General features: G+C 43.9%; 1 protein-coding gene across 2 annotated transcripts in view, besides 1 other annotated feature; it reads right to left on the minus strand.

Moving 5' to 3' along the window:
- Nucleotides 205-17331, minus strand: part of MFHAS1 (multifunctional ROCO family signaling regulator 1) — a 110277-nt gene continuing 93150 nt past the window's right edge. The window contains exons 2-3 of one of the 2 annotated variants that reach the window (NM_004225.3): nucleotides 14216-14342; nucleotides 205-2906 (exon numbers count right to left, since the gene is read on the minus strand). In NM_004225.3, the coding sequence (NP_004216.2) occupies nucleotides 2873-2906; nucleotides 14216-14342 (161 nt within the window). In that variant the 3' untranslated portion in view covers nucleotides 205-2872. Of the gene's footprint in view, nucleotides 2907-7175; nucleotides 7286-14215; nucleotides 14343-17331 lie in introns of those variants that run through there. The other variant, XM_047422419.1, reaches the window with a different exon arrangement.
- Nucleotides 11816-12016: a silencer, noted in NCBI's record as "peak6897 fragment used in MPRA reporter construct". NCBI's record gives its function as "represses an SCP1 promoter by STARR-seq MPRAs in K562 erythroleukemia cells {active_cell/tissue: K562}" and the evidence as "EXISTENCE:reporter gene assay evidence [ECO:0000049][PMID:32103011]".

Below are 17331 nucleotides of genomic sequence, written 5' to 3' on the forward strand. Positions count from 1 at the left end.
TGAAAACAGAGGCAGTTTTAAAACAGGGATTCTTTAGTTTTCTCTTCGGAGACCAAACAGATGAGAGCTACCACCACCCACCTCCCACAGCTCCAACAGTACCACTAAGGACTAAAACTATAAAAGTCATTCCTTAACTGATAGAATTAAAAGTAAAAACAAATGAACAAAATCTGAAATAATTAAGTTCTGGGAATACAACTGTTTAACCATTTCTTTGTATTTTTATTGATTTTTCTTTTTTAATTTCTGCCCAGTTACAACAACGAAATGGGAAACCACAATTAAAATTCACAAACCATGGCATGAAAAACAACACGCACCCCATCAGGAATTACACCAAACCCCTTTTCCTTTTTATTCATTCAAAAGAGAGTCCAATACACAAGTGTCAAATATGAGCACTGTCATTTTTTTTTTCTTAGAAGGGGGAAAAACATTTATTTTGGCAGTGCTTTGACAATTCCAGGAAGTGGTTTTGATACCACAAGTTGCAGGAATAGAAACCCTAACAAACTTGGAGGGCATTTGTTTGAGAGGCAAGGGACGCCTTGCTTAGAAAACATTCCTCTTGTGCTTAGTGAATCACCTATCGCCTCGGTGGGCTGCTGTGTCTTTCCAGGTGCTGAAAGAGAAAACGGAATTTCTTGCATAGACAGCTGAAGAGTCCTGTAGAGCAGAGTGATTTTTGTATCTCCAACCCTCCTCCCAACTTGAAACAAATTCTCAAGCTTCTCTGGAGCATCTTTTGGTCACATGACCCTCGATCATGGTAACCCTTTTGCTAAGACACATGTGACACCAAGGTTTCCTCTGACACTGCTTCTCTAGGGTTCAGATGACAGCATAAAACATCACTGGTCAAAAATATTAGATATTAAGAATGTGGGCGTTTATGTTCGTAACAGCAAATACTTTGTAGGGTGTGTCACCCAAAGGAGCATTTTTGTCATTTAATATGGTCCCCGGGGAGTTAGCCCAAAATCATACAAATAAGCCTTTTTCTAAAGACAGGTCAAAGTTGGTTAATTTAACAGTTGAGGAACCGTCTCATGCCAATTAAAAAATTCTTACTTCCCAACTATTCAATGGTCCAAAAAGCAATTAAATGTGACCATTCAGTTTTACACACATGCACACACACACACACGGAGACGCGCACACACACACGAGAACTGTGACAAAAGGATTCACCAGATTAATCTTGTGACTGTGTTCTAAAAGAAAATGAAATCTCAAACTTGAGGTGTCCTATTCAAGTATTAAAAAAATGCAAACATCGTCTGATCCCATTCGATTTTTATCATCATAAGAAATCATTCTCTGAACTGCAGGTTCTGGAGTCAGTGAAATTAATGCCTGGGGCACAAAATATTCTACAAAAATCGGTTTGTGATTTCTAGCAGGGCAGTCGCTTGCTCCTTATTTCTTTTAAAAAACATGTTGAGACTTTGTATACTGTAGCCTTCCAAGAGTCAATACTTTACAAAAGAAGTAAAAGAGTAGCGAGTACCAGCAACTCACTCTTCTTGTCTGAGGCTGGCGAGAAGCAGTCAGTTTTATACATTTTCGATCAACCCACGGAGGAGGCAAATGTAAACAGAGTTTTTTACACTCTCCGAAAAACATGTTACTACTGTAGCATATGCTGTTTGGCCCAATTAAAAGTAGAATGGAGAGCAATTTGTTTGGTTGGCTTTTTAAGTTTTACCTTGTGAAGATTTTAAAACAAGGGTATTACTAGTTCTTGGCAGGAGACCGTCCAATCAGAGGCTCTGTATTTATAAATAACCCGTGTGGGATTATGCTCTCCAGTGAATGTAACTGGAGCCTAAATTCACAACCTTAAGATCTGACAGCCAGATGTGGAAGGTCTACAAAGAGCTCTGCTAATAAGTAATATGTTTGCAAAGTGCTCTGCTAAGTAAGGTACTTATTAAGCAGAGCACTTTGTAAGATTCAGAACTGACTCCTGATTATCTTAAGCCATTAAAAGACTCAAGTTTTGCATGGACTTTTTGTCCTCTTTGGCCCCTGAGTGTGCCCCATCTCTGCCCAGCACTAATAACACGTTGGAAGAGCAAAGGATTTCCCACCAGCGTGCCAGATGATTTATATAGGCAGGGACCTTCATTGAAAAGAAGGGAAGGGACACTGTCTTAAATGCACATTTAAGGTTCTTTCTGATTATTGGCAATCTCTATGAACCAACACTTAATCCATGGGCTAACAGAGAGATTTTTTTTTTAATGTGAAGAGGATTAAAGAATAAAGAAAAAACAAAAAAGTCTTATACTAAAATAAGAAATCAGCCCCATCTTGGCACAGTTCTCATGCAGAATATTGCACCCAGTGTGAACTAACGCTAGAAGCTTCAAACTGTATAAATTTAAATGTATTTGCATATTATAAAAATAAAGATAAACATATACATATTTTACACTAGTTATGGAACAGCAATGAACGTCAGTCGATCCCTCTTTCACATTTAACAGAACTGAAATCTGAGTGCTCTAAATACTGCCACCTGTACTGTAACTATGGCTTATATGTGCACGGAAAACAAAATCCCTGAGAAGCCATTCGACTTTTTTTTTTTTTTTTTCTTTTCTTCAAGTAGCGCGCTCCTTGGAGGATCACAGTTCTGAGGTTCAGGTTGTAAAACATTTGCTCCATGTTCTCGTCCATGCTTCCCCCCACCACCCCCTCCCCACCTCTTCCCCAGTCGTCCAAAAAGCACCCTGCAAGCACGCGTTGTCACTCAAGTTCACAGAACACGCTGGGGTGAGTGCAGAGGGTCTGCCAGGTGCAAAAGATGGTCCAGGTGTTCAGATGCTCTCTTTTCTCCATGGAAATTCCACAGCCACAAACGTCACTGGTTTCTGTGCTTTTCACCAACATTCTTCCTGTATGGGTGGACAACAAGAAAGCACAGAGATGACAAAAACGTACTGGACAATGCTACCCTCAATAAGAAAAGGAAGTGATGATAGAAATCTATTTTCTGCACATATTTTCATTTCTACTTCCAGGACTCATTATAAACATGTAAATGTCAGGCAACTTATGTCCCCACAAAGGAAAGAGTCATTTTAGCAGTCTATTTGCCAAACATTTCTGTTGGTGTGTTAAGCTCAGTTCAGCTATAAGAGGGAACTGTACTAACTGGCTGTCATCACTTATTCCACTGTAATTTTATAGCTTAACTAGACCTCTAACTAACAACCCAAAACTCTAAACACGGAACTGTTTCCTTTCAATAAACACACACGGTCACACGCAGACACACACCAAATAATCCTCTAGAAGAAGGAATATATACTAAAAAGTGAGATGTCTGTCTGCCTAAAATGCATGATTTTACTTAAAATGTTATAAGTTAAGTTGTCCACGCAAATCTGGAGTCTGATCAATATAGAATGAATAAACTACTGCAGCCTCAGCAAATAAAGCGGGATTCAGTTCCGATAAAATGGTTAGAGGAAAAAATATCAAGTGTTTTTCTCATTTTTGCTTCCCTACAATGACATGTGATGGGATGTTTTTGAAAGTGGTTTTTTTTTTTTAGCAACTTTTAATAAAATATACAAAGACATTGAAAGGAAAGGAAAAAGGAGTTACGATTCGTTTCCTCCAATCCCCCATCTCTCATTAGGAGAGACGCTGATTTCATGGACACTGATAATTCAGCATCTGCCTAAACACTTCTCCAGTCCATACAAGATTCAGTCATGGGCTCATTCAAGCATGATAATAACGACATCACCAAAACAAAGCAAAGCAAAGCAAAACAAAACAAAACAAAACAAAAAAACCAAAAACCTCTCATTTACTAACTACATGCCAGGAATTAGGTTGTTCACTCTAGTGCATTATTTATCTTCAACTCCTAATAATCCCACCATGTAAGCTCCATCTTACTCAGTATTATTATTATTTTTTTTTTTTTGAGACAGAGTCTCGCTCTGTTGCCCAGGCTGGAGTGCAGTGGCGCAATCTCGGCTCACTGCAAGCTCCGCCTCCTGGGTTCATGCCATTCTCCTGCCTCAGCCTCCCGAGTAGCTAGGACTACATGTGCCCGCCACCACACGCGGCTAATTTTTTGCATTTTTAGTAGAGATGGGGTTTCACCATGTTAGCCAGGATGATCTTGATCTCCTGACCTCATGATCCGCCCACCTTGGCCTCCCAAAGTACTGGGATTACAGGTGTGAGCCACTGCGCCCGGCCTCAGCATCTTACTAGGAAGGGAACTAAGGTTCCAAAAGATGAAATAACTTCCCCAAGGGTGCATACTAGCGAGTGACAGAGCCAGGCCTTTCACTAGGGTGATCTGACTCCAAAGCTCAAAGAGAAGTTGGATATTTGGAGCCCTAGGAAAGAGTTTCACATTTCTAAGGCACTCTGCCACGAGAATTTTTTGAATGCCTATTAATATAGTAAACTCCCAGAAGAGAGGGTTTTGAAAACTGCCTCAAATTCAACTAATAATATAATCAATCTAACTGTAAGGAGGACGCCAGTGTAAAAACACACGTCTCAACCTAGCAGCTAACTTTGGTGGTGTGAGTTTTGGGTTCACGTGGGAGATGTGTTACATAAACATTTTCCCACTGAATCTGACAGACCTTCAGAAATGCAGACAGTCTGCTCCCCGGGCTACACGTAAGACTGAGAAACACAAGAATACCTAATCAAGGACACCTAGACGGAAAATCCCACTGTTCAACCAGCTTGAAAATTGTTTCACATCTATATGCCTTTTTCCACATTTGGGATCTTAGAGAAAACAACCATCAAAATCACCAACCTTCTCTGTTTCTCCCCACCTCTCTAGCTCCATAAACTTGTCCTCCTTCTTCAAGATCCATCTCAAGTACGACTTCCTGGAACTTTTCCTGATTCTTCCTGGTAGAGTTCTTTCTTCCCTGTGCTTACAAGACTCTGTTCATACACCTATCATGGCAGGTACCATGTTTCAATTATAATTAGACTCTGATAAGTTTGCCTGGTTATGGCTTTGATTCCTATCTTCTCCAAAGAGGCTATTAGGTTCTGGAGGGCAGGATTTGATTTAGTTCTTTATGTATCCTCAACACCCGGCCCAATGCCTACTAGAGGATAATTACTCAACAAAGATCTGTTGAATGAATGATGGGTCAGATGTGATGAAAAAGCCACAGGTAAAAAGTAGCCAAGATACTATGAGATCATTACCAAAAGAGGTATATAAAAAGTACTGAGGAGAGCCAGGTGCGGCAGCTCATGCCTGTAATCCCACTGCTTTGGAAGGCTGAGGCAGGCAGATCACCTGAGGTCAGGAGTTTGAGACCAGCCTGGCCAACATGGCAAAACCCTGTCTCTACTAAAAATGCAAAAATTAGCCAGGCGTGGTGGTGCATGCCTGTAGTCCCAGCTACTCGGGGGGCTGAGGCAGGATAATTGCTTGAACCCAGGAGGCGGAGGGTGCAGTGAACCAAGATTGTGCCAATACACTCCAGCCTGGGTGACAGACCAAGACTCTGTCTCAAACAAAGAAACAAAAAGTATTGAGGAGACATGAAGAACAGAGTGACTGGTTACAGTTAGGATGGTTACGGGAGGCTCCCCAGAGGAGCTGACATATGACCTTGGCCTCAGCGACCAATGGGCCTTAACTGGGTAGGAGAGAAGGGCAGCAGCCAGCCAGTGGACTGAGAGGCAGCCACGGCCCACCACGGCTGACCTCCCATGGTAAGGGAGTATCTGTGTGTTGGCAGAGTGGCTGGGTCTGATTGTGCAGGGCCTTGTGAGCCACGGCCAGGAGTTTGAACTTGAGCCTGTGATCACCAGGAAGCCATCCAAGGCTTTTCAACAGGGAGAGATGTGATGAGGTCTGATGTTAAAAGACAATTATTGTCGGTTTGAAGGACAAAAAGATAAGAGAGCAGGCAGCCAGCTGAGACTCAGTCACAGGAACCTTGGCAGAGACGGGGGAAGTGGTGGCTGGGGGGGTTGGGCCCTAGAGGGAAGCCCGAGGCTGAAGCTGAAGATGTGGGTCAAATTCATTCATGTCACGACACAGATGAGATGGGATAAAAGGTGTTGGAGAATTACTACATATAGGGAAGAAAGCAGAGGAAGGCAATGAGGCTTACGGACTCCTAGCTTGGAGCCGATGGTACAAAGCTACGCTGTTACCCAAGACAGGTCACAGACTGAGGAAGAACTTTGCGGGAGGAAGGCAATAAATTCAGCTGTACACCTGTGAAGCCTACAGACATCCAGGGATGATGCCACGTGAGACATTGGAAACAGAGGTCTGGGGCTGAAGGGAGGGTCCAGCCTGGGGGGCACCCAGCCCCCGAGTCCTCCCAGGTTAGGGAATTGAAATCTGCCCTTCCAGGATGCAACAAAGAAATTATGACGCAAGGTACCGAGACACTTAGGCTGAAACTGAAGCCATGGCATGTTGTATTAACCATGTCTTTTATTTTCTGTATTCTGGTGCTTTCCTACTCCGGACCTTGCAAACTCTGGAGGGACTGCCCCTCCTAGGATTAGCCAATTCCTAGAGATGGTAAAACAATTTGCCCGGAGTATACTCTTCCAATACAAACCAACTAATCCTGAACCCACACCTGGAACACCTCCTTTACTGGCTCTCACACTCCAGGCCACCATCCACCTGCCCTAATCACCCCTGAGCCAGGTGCCAGACGACTAAGGCAACCCCTCTGCCCCAGGGCCACTGAGATTATTCAAATAAGCCTGTCCTAGACCTGCCTACCCGGCCTTGCCCGTTCCTCCCCTCTCCCCTCCTGCCCCCAGTCCCTCCCTTTCCCTACTTGTGACCATCCCGGTACTTTCCTGTGTAGTTCCTGAAGGTGTGGACCCACTTGATGTTTTATTTCTGCATAATATTAACATTTTTCAAAAATGACTTCCTTTTTTGAACAAGGATCTAAGATCACTGTCTATGCAATATCATAGTAAATTAAGCAAAAGAATCAAGCAGTTCCCTTCTTCCTAATTCCCATATGCAACTTGATTCTAGAGATGTATAAGGTTTGTCTAGGATTCCTGTTCTCCAAAATCTCTTCATCCCAACACCCCCATATCCCCCCTAATCTCTCTGAGTCCTCAAGAGGGCCTTACCTATTTAAGAAATTCTCTCTGTTTCACGGAGACTTACCCTTAAAAATTGGTGCTCCTAAAGTCACAGTTTGGGTACAGTAAAAATGATGGCATAAGGAAAAGAAGCACTATCTTTTCCACTTAATTTTCCAAGAAAGTATGAAGATACCTAAGCAGAGAGGGAAAAATTCCAGTATCAATGTGGCTGACGGGAGACTAAATAATTAAAGAAACACAATTCCTCCTAGCTTGTTAAAACAGCAAGGCAAAGAGCTGCCTCACTCCTTGCATAGAACAAAACAAATCAATGCAAATCAATGTGAAACACCCCACAGGCAACCTCCACATGTGGCCTTTTCTTATAAAATACCATCCCATCCTCACCCTCTATATTTTAAAATTCTGTGGTCAGTGAAAAATTCTCCATTGTGATGAAGCCTAATTCATATCACGCCACTGCTTTTTAAAAATATTTTATCAAGTTCATGCTAATTTGTGTGCTGTTAGGCATACGTGGCCTGTTTATTTGGTGATATAAAGGCTACAGACTTCATCCTGCTTTTTATGAAAGGCTACTGCAACTGGTCTTAAATGTCTTTATGTCAAAACGATGTTACTGCCAAAATTCCTGTGCAAAGTAACCACGGTACTTCTGAGAATACTTACAAACAGCTAGCAAGTAACTGGAATTTAGTGGGGATCTTGCTTGAATGGGAACTCTACAGTATAGAGGCAATAATCCAAGATTTTAAAAGGGTATTTCGAAATGCAATAACTCAGCCTTCCCCTCTATTATTATTAGTACTTCCTAAAAAAGGAGAAAGCTTAGCTCAACCATTTTCAAACCACCACCCCACCCGTTTTTTTTTTTTTTTTTTGCTAATTCTGTTAACACATGATCAGCCAAAATCAGAATGAACTAACTTCTTCAGTCTCAGAACTCCCACCATTCCCCACATATCGGAGCACAGACAGATACGGTATCGCTGCAGGAGAAACGTCAACCATCAGGAAATAAGAGTGACACATGCCCATTTCCTGTATATTCAAGGGTCAGTCCATTAAGAAACCACATGTTAGAATGTGGGTCGCATTCCAGTAATGCCTCAAGGTAAAACATTTTCATATGATGACCTGTTGAATTTGCTTGGTCTTTTACCCAAAAATCAGTAGATAAACTGGGTTATCTGGCAGGTTATCAAAGAGTCTTCAGTTTGGTGGAGGACGGATTTGCTCTAAAGCTCTTTAGAAGGAGAAAGAGAAGCATTCTGCAGGAACCCTAGAAATGAAACGCAACCAGCAAGCTGCCATTTGTCCAGAGAAGCTCACACTCCCTGGGAAATGGAATATTGGGTCTCAACCTGAAGAGTAGCTGGACAGAGACAGGAATTCACAAATAAAAGCTTTAAAAGATAATGCGGTCTACTTGCTTCCTACCTTGCCCACGGGAAGTATAGGTTTGCCCTATCTTTTGACTCCTAATGTCAAGGCTCAGTACCCCTGAAATATCTAGGGCCTAATTAGGCTGCCATGAAGAAGTTCTAAAGGAGGAGCTCTCCAAGCAGCTCCAGCTCCTCTCCACCATCCAGGAAATAGGGGGCTGGCAGTGGCAGGAGCAAGATAAGCCACTGCCTTTAGACTGAACTGTGCCAAGGATAACGTGTTTATGAGAACCTCTTTAAAACTCAGAAATCGGCCAGGCACGGTGGCTCACGCCTGTAATCCCAGCACTCTGGGAGGCCGAGGCAGGCGGATCACGGTCAGGAGATCGAGACCATCCTGGCTAACACAGTGAAACCCTATCTCTACCAAAAATACAAAAATTAGCCAGGCATGGTGGCATGTACCTGTAGTCCCAGCTACTCGGCAGGGATAACAGGAGAATCATTTGAACCCAGGGGGCAGAGGTTGCAGTGAGCCGAGATCATGCCACTGTACTCCAGCCTGGGTGAAGGAGTGAGACTCTGTCCCAAAACAAAAGCTCAGAAATCTGCTTCATACTAACACACCAGCCTGCAAAACCATTCCTGAAAGTGACACTAAAAATATTTATTGGCCGGGCGCGTGGCTCACGCCTGTAATCCTAGCACTTTGGGAGGCCAAGGCGGGCAGATTATCTGAGGTCGGGAGTTCAAGACCAGCCTGGTCAACATGGTGAAACTCCTTCTCTACTAATACAAAAAATAAAAAATTAGCTAGGTGCAGTGGCGTGTGCCTATAATCCCAGCTACTCTGGAGGCTGAGGCAGAAGAATTGCTTGAACCCAGGAGGCGGAGGTTGTGGTGAGCCAAGATCACGCCACTGCACTCCAGCCTGGGCTACAGAGTGAGACTTCATCTCAAAAAAATAACCAAAAAAACAAACCAAAAAAAACTTACTGACTGCATGAACTAGGTGTTGGATAAGACACAAGTTAACTGCAAATAGGCAGGAGATTTCTTTTTGGGGTGAAGGAACGTTCTAAAATTAGATTGTGGTGATGGTTGTATAAATACAACTCTGCAAATACGTTAGTAATCATTGCACAGGTGAATTTTCTGGTATGGAAATTATACATCAATAAAGCTTTTAAAAATGTATCTGTCACAATCTGTATCCTTGAGGAGGCCAGAATTTTTCAGAGCGACCCAGGCAAATTTGCTACTAGGTGAATGTTCACCTCATCTTAAATGCAGATATCCTTGAAAATCATCTCAAGATATTCAAAGCATGGAAATGACTCACATTTCTATCTGATAATCAGCAAGGGGGAGAAGAAGCCACTCAGCTCCTGTTTCTCCCTGGAGGGTGAGGTGCAGAAGGGGAGGCATTTCATCCTGTTCCTGAAACCTCTTCCCAATGAAACGCTGGTGGAGACCTCAACCACCAATCCACTGAGACAAGTTATAAGAGTAAATCATGTTGTTAAAACAAAAAAAAAAATATCACTACCTACTTCTTATTCTCTGTCTCTCCCCATGGGGGAATAAAATGTCTACAAATTGTTTAAAATAAGAAATAGAAAAGCTTGGAATTCATTTAAAAAAGGCCAATCAGGTAACAGTCATCTACAGTTTCTTCTTTATAAAGAAAGCATTGCAGCACCATTAGTCAAAGACAGGCAGTTAAATGACAAGTCTCTGATTTGACCAATAAAGGAGAGGGCTAAACCAGCCAAAGAAGAGCTTGGAATGTCTTTTTAAAAACCATCATGAGATCCAGATCAGCCACCTAAGCCCCACAAAAGCCAGCAATCACCTAGGGTAATTATTCTGGTCTACCTGGGAGCTTTCTCTAGGGCACCCATCATCCCAACATGACTGACAGCCGTCCCATCACTCTCAATCCTCTCCTGATTTGAACAGTGAGTGATATGTTCACCTTACCTGAGAGTGGGAGGGACTGTGCTGAGGCTGAGAGCAGACAGCATGGACAGTTTTGCCTTTGTGCTGCAGAGCAGGTATTGACCACAGAGCAGTCCTAAGGCCCCACTGGCCAGGGAACCCACCCTTAGAGGCATGGACTGGAACTGAACCATCAGAAAGTCGTGTACACACGTTAGACTCATCTGGGTGGCTTCTTCTGTTTTTTAGTGACTCATGCCTGGTCCCTTCCCTGAGAAATTCTAACTTAACAGGTCTGATTAAGAAAGCCTGACCTTGGCTGGGCACGGTGGCTCATGCCTGTAATCCCAGCATTTTCGGAGGCTGAGGCAGATGGATCACTTGAGGTCAGGAGTTCGAGACCAGCCCAGCCAACATGATGAAACCCCGTCTCTACCAAAAAATACAAAAAATTAGCTAGGTGTGGTTGTGTGCGCCTGTAGTCCTAGCTACTTAGGAGGCTGAGGCAGAAGAATCACTTGAACCCTGGAGGTGGAGTTTGCAATGAGCTGAGATCGCACCACTGCACTCCAGCCTGGGTGACAGAGTGAGACCCTTTGTCAAAAAAGAAAAAAAAAAGCCTGACCTCTATGGTGACCTGCTTAAGTTACCTCGGCTGGAGTTGAAAGCCAGTGCAATAGCCCCGGACTTCCAATGTCTAGTGCCTGCTGAGACCCCAAGTCTCAGGCTCAGGCCCAAGCTGTGTTGACTTAAGCACAGATTCTTTGCCAGCTATCCTAACCGATCCCCCCAAATCTCCCGCTTCCAATCCACTGTCAACCACCCATGAATGGGACCTTCCCCGGAGCCTGGCCCGGCCTCCACATGAGTTTGTTTTTGTCCATGTGTTCATGGATGTAAACTGTGGGTGCTTAAGGCGGTGAAGGTGGGGGAACACTGGGCAGCTCGAGCACAGGCTTCACATCTACGTGTGCTTTTCTATAAAGTCACACAAGAGATCATTTACCCCTTGCAGCTGCACTAAAATATGGTAATTTTCCAAGAAACGTCTTGCCAGGAATATGAAACTTCCCTACTTAGAGAACATTCCTTCATTTAGAGTTGAGAATTATATTGCAAAGCTGTCATCCATTTCATGAGACTTTTTTTTTAACCTCTTTCAAAATAAAATGATTCTGATAGCTAGGTCAAAAGTGGTTCAATGCCTAAAGAGGCTTCCTCGGCATTTGGATGTCTGGCGCCATGTACCGCCGCTTACCCATGACTTTAGGCTGCTTGTTCGTTCAGGTTCAATACGCTGTCGAGAGAGAGGCTGATAACATTTTTTTCAGGTTGGTATAAACGTGGTCTTTCTGCGGCAGTACAAGAAGCCCATGGGAAAACACTGATAAAGCTGGCTTGGTGCCAGGAAGGTTTCTAGCGCAAATGGATATTTTAACTCCTACCTCTATCGCACCTATTCGACGGCACTTGGCTATGGCAAAACAATAGGTTCATGTCTCTCTTGGCTCTGGAAAGTTTACGCCAATGCAAAGTATATTGAATTTTTGTTTCCTCTGTTTCATACCTTGCTGGTTCTGTAATATCCCCTTGAGCTTTAAGAACTTGCGGGGTATTAAAAAAAAGAGACAGAAGAAAAAGAAAACATATAATATCCCCTTATCCATCCTCACCCAGGTGTATCTGAAAGAAAGGGACCAATATGTACAATTTCAAAGAAATTAAAAGAGAAACAATAAAATTTCCGTTGTTTGATATGTTCAGGACAGGGGATATTCAGGTTAATATTCGGTTGGTGCAAAAGTAATTGTGCAATTACTTTTAACAGTTATTCTGTAATCCTATTTTAATATTTAAGAAGCACTTCAAGATTCACAATGTCTTAGGGTCAGTGATAAATTAAACTATGCACATGATAGTTAAATAGTACTCTGAATACAAGAGCATTAGATAACAGTTTCCCTTGGGTGTTCGGTGATATTTTCCAGCAAGGATAGATTAGGGATGTTCTATGTAATGAGTTTCCCAGTTTGGAGAAACGGGGCACTGAGCCGAGTGCCCTCTACTTCTACTGCAGCAGCTAATGAGTAAGAATGCCACTGGGAACCCTCGCTTTGCAGGGAGCACACCAAAGGCAGGGAAGCTGCCATGTGAGGGGTGAGATGGATGCCTGTCACACTGCCTGGAATGCAGCCGGACAGCAAGTTTCCCAAGAGGAGATGACAGGTCACAATTCCCAAAGGCGCACTTTCCAAGCTCCCTAAAAACAGGCTTAGATTCATACATAATTTTTTCATTAAAAAATTCCATGTGGCCAGCTAGGAAGAAAGAGTCGAGTTTGCTGCATGGATATGAATACTATGCTGGAGAAATCATGGTGCTGACATCACCCAGATCATGAGATCTGACCCAAGAAGATCTGTGGCTGCTGCTTTTCAGGATTTGAAGTAACAGGCATTTCATCTCAGCTTAAAAGCGGCCTCTTTGGTTCTTAATACAAACAAAACAAAACGAAAAACACACATACATAAAACCCAAACCAACAGGATGAGTGTTATCTAGAATAGTAGTAACCCAATGTTCTATCTGAAAGTTACTTGGCATGTGTGCGTTCTCTGTCTTCAAGTCCATTTTGGGGCAAGGTGGTGGCAAACTGCACAGCCCTTGATTTTCAGGGACTGACTCCGCAATCAGAACCATGCAACAGAAAACGGCCTATTACTGACTTTCTGCAGGCTTTGCTCATGGAATGGGCCTGCGCTGGTTTTTGATGTGAGAGCCAACTTCATTCTGCAATGACAGAGTTAAGACTGCCCGTCAAAAAACTATTTTCTTTTGTAATCCCAGCACTTTGGGAGGCCAAGACGGGCGGATCCCGAGGTCAGGAGATCGAGATCATCCTGGCTAACAGGGTGAAACCCCGTCTCTACTAAAAATACAAAAAAATTAGCCGGGCGCGGTGGCGGGCGCCTGTAGTCCCAGCTACTCGGGAGGCTGAGGCAGGAGAATGGCCCGAACCCGGAAGGCGGAGCTTGCAGTGAGCCAAGATGGCGCCACTGCACTCCAGCCTGGGCGACAGAGCAAGACTCCGTCTCAAAACAAAAAAAAAAAAAAAGGCAAAAAAAGGCCGGACGTGGTGGCTCACGCCTGTAATCCCAGCACTTTGGGAGGCCAAGACGGGCGGATCCCGAGGTCAGGAGATCGAGATCATCCTGGCTAACAGGGTGAAACCCTGTCTCTACTAAAAATACAAAAAAATTAGCTGGGCATGGTGGTGGGCGCCTGTAGTCCCAGCTACTCGGGAGGCTGAGGCAGGAGAATGGGGTGAACCCGGGAGGCGGAGCTTGCAGTGAGCCGAGATCGCACCACTGCACTCCAGCCTGGGTGACAGAGCGAGACTCCATCTCAAAAAACAACAACAAAAAAAATGTTCTTTTTGGTTCCATATACCTGCAAATAAACTGAAAACCAATGAACTGTACACTTAGGTAAGTGAACTGTGGTATGTGAATGACATCTCAAAAAGGCTGTTAAAAAATGTTCTGACTTTATTAGCTAAAGTAAAAAAAAAAAAAAAAATCACAAAAAAGAGGAAATAAAAGTTCCTGTTTTGCTGCATAAATCATGATGCTGATGTCATCCAGAAGAATTATGTCTGTTCAGGAGGACTTTGCAAGGTTTGTGCAGATGCAGTTTAACCTGGATTTTTGTGGTCATATCTATGGAGCTGGGATCAGGAGCCAGGTCCCGGGGCCAGAGGGACTTTGAGAACTCACTTGGAACAGGGGCTGATCACAGTCGGCGTGGGTGGGTAAACCAAGGCAACATTTACTCGCTCGCTGCCGTTCTTGGGGCAAATGATCTCTGCCACTCCTTCCGGTCTGGGCTGACTCAGCAACTCCCCTGTAGGAGGAGAGAGAAAAACGTGTTAGGGAGATGTGCACTAAAAATGGGCTCATTTTACAAAGACAGCACTGCCCGGGGATGGGGGCAGGGGGAGAAGGGCAGAGGTGAAGCAACGAAGGATGTGAGAACAAATGTGCAACCAAGAACAGCAGAACTGCCTGGGCGCCGGCTCCAGCGCCTAAATCCTCCTCTGCGTCACCGTGGAGAAAATTTTCATGGTTATGGCAGGAAGGCCCACACTAGACAAAGACAGCATCTGTCACTGCTCTGCTCACCTTCCTTTTAACAGACTGACTCCAGGGATCTTTATCTAGATATCAACGACTGAGCCAGAGTCCCCAGAGCCCACCGAAGCAAGGGCTGCCAAGGAGGTGTTCATAATTAGGATTTGGGGCAGATGGGACTCAAGCAGACCACAGCAACCATTCAACAAAGCCCTATATAAATGATCTGGAAACACAGCAGACTAAAAGTGTTAAAAACACAAACAGCCTAAGATCAGCCCAGCCTCCTCTGGGCAAGGGGATTGCCCTGATAGGTATGTGTGAAGCAGATGCACGACACAACACTATCTAACGAGTCTAGCAAAAACACATAATTAACCTAATGGATCACCACAATACTTAAAGGAACGCTATTACTCTGCATGCCCTGGATGTAATCTCTCTTCAACTAGATCATTACATCTCTAAAAGCAGTGATGACTTCCATTCTCTCATCCATATACCCAGGGCACCCTGCCCTTTCTCAGAGAGTACTCAAGAAACAGCTCCTGGCTGCAGATGGGACACATTATTGTTCAAACTGCCCTACTTAAACCTAGGAACTAAATTTTTTGTTGTTGTTTTGGAGACAGGCTCTTGGTTTGTCACCCAGGCTGAAGTGCAGTGGCCTAATCACAGCTCTCTGCAGCCTCAATCTCCCAGGCTCAGGTGATCCTCCCACCTCAGACTCCCAAATAGCTGGGACCACAGGTATGCAGCACCACATCTGGCTAAATGTTAACCTTTTACTTTATTTTTGTAGAGACAGGAGTCTCGATATGTTTCCCAGGCTGGTCTCAAACTTCTGGCCTCAAGCAATCCTCCCACCTCAGCCTCCCAAAGTGCTGGGATTACAGGTGTGAGCCACCATGTCTGGCTTCTAGAAAGTCAATTAACCAAATCAAGGATGTGAAATGTACACCAACTGGGGAAAGACACTACTGCAATTACAACTTCAACTCTCTGCACCAACCACTTCTACTGCTGACTTGAAATTCTAGAGACTCCGGGCTGGGCGCGGTGGCTCACACCTGCAATCCTAGCAGTTTGGAAGGCTGAGGCAGGTGGATCACAAGGTCAGGAGTTCGAGACCAGCCTGGCCAATAAGGTGAAACTCCACATCTACTAAAAATACAAAAATCAGCTAGGCATTTGTGGCAGGTGCCTGTAGTCCCAGCTACCCAGGAGGCTGAGGCAGGTGAATCGCTTGAACCCGGAAGGCAGAGGTTCCAGTGAGCCCAGATTGCGCCACTGCACTCCAGCCTGGGCGACAGAGTGAGAATCTGTCTCAACAACAACAAAAAAAAAAAAAGAAAAGAAATTCTAGAGACTCCAAAGAAGAGCAGTCCCCCCTTATCCCTCAGACATGCGTTCCAAGACCCCAGCGGATGCATGAAACCGAGGACAGTACCGAAGACTATACAGACTATGTTTTTGCCTATAAGTAGATACCTATGATAAAGTTTAATTTATAAATTAGGCACAGTAAGAAATTTACAACAATAAATAGGACAATGATAATATACTGTATTAATAATTAAACTTTTATGAATATGGTCTCTCAAAAACTATTATTATGCTGCATTCACATGTATTTGGACCACAGTTGATTGCAGGTAACTGAAATCACAGAAAGTGAAACCATGGATAAGGGGACCACTGTATCTGCTGACGTATAATGATATGAAATTCCTTTGCTTCAAAGTACTGTATTTCTGGCTGGGACAGTGGTTCATGCCTCTAATCCCAGCACTTTGCGAGGCAAAGACGGGTGGATCGCTTGAGCCCAGGAGTTCAAGATCAGCCTGGCCAACATGGTAAAACCCAGTCTCTACTAGAAATACAAAAATCAGCCAGGCATGTTGGCGGGCACCTGTAATCTCAGGTATTCGGGAGGCTGAGGCATGAGAATCACTTGAATCCAGGAGGCAGAGGTTTCAGTGAGCTGAGATCAGGCCACTGCACTCCAACCCGGGCGACAGAGTGAGACTCCGTCTCAAAGAGCAAAAGAAAACAAAAACACCGTATTTCTAAATGTCTCATCCCCCGCAAAGGCCACACTGATAGCGCAGGCCCATATCAGCACTGGGCCTGCAGTTTTAAATGTACACCTCGTGTAATCTTCACAATGGCCCTAGATGGGTTTATCCTCATTTTACAAATGAGGATGCTAATGCTCAGGGAGGTTATGCGATGTACCCAGAGTCAGGAGCTAACCAGCAGCAGACTTGGGATGTGAACTTGGGAACCCACTTCTGGGGCCCTTACTCTTTGCCCCCAGGCTAATGCCTCCCCAAAGCAGGGACTGCTTCTTTATGCCAGAACTCATCTTTCCTAAATGAGCAATCTAAAAACGCTATTTTTAATTAATGAACTAAGCGGCATACTTTTATGAAAAACATTAATTTCCTGACGTGTACATTTTTATATAGTGTCGCACAATATTAAGTGAATGTAATTTGAGTTCCTTAACCAAACTCCTGTAAACAGCAAACTGCTACAAAAGTTAATTTAGCATCATTAGCTTGTAGCATGGCTATGTGGATATCAAAAATGCACTTCAAACACCAGCTAGGAAAAGATCCTCAAATATAAAAATGCAAGTTAAAAATGTAAATGTTAAATGCTTATCAAAGTAATAAAATGAACCCAAGTAACAGCATGTTCGAGCTAGACTGGAACCTGGAAGGCATCCAGTCCAAACATCAACTAGTAAGTCAGAA

The sequence above is a fragment of the Homo sapiens genome, chromosome 8 (assembly GCF_000001405.40).
Source record: "Homo sapiens chromosome 8, GRCh38.p14 Primary Assembly".
Classification (NCBI taxonomy): Eukaryota; Metazoa; Chordata; class Mammalia; order Primates; family Hominidae; genus Homo; species Homo sapiens.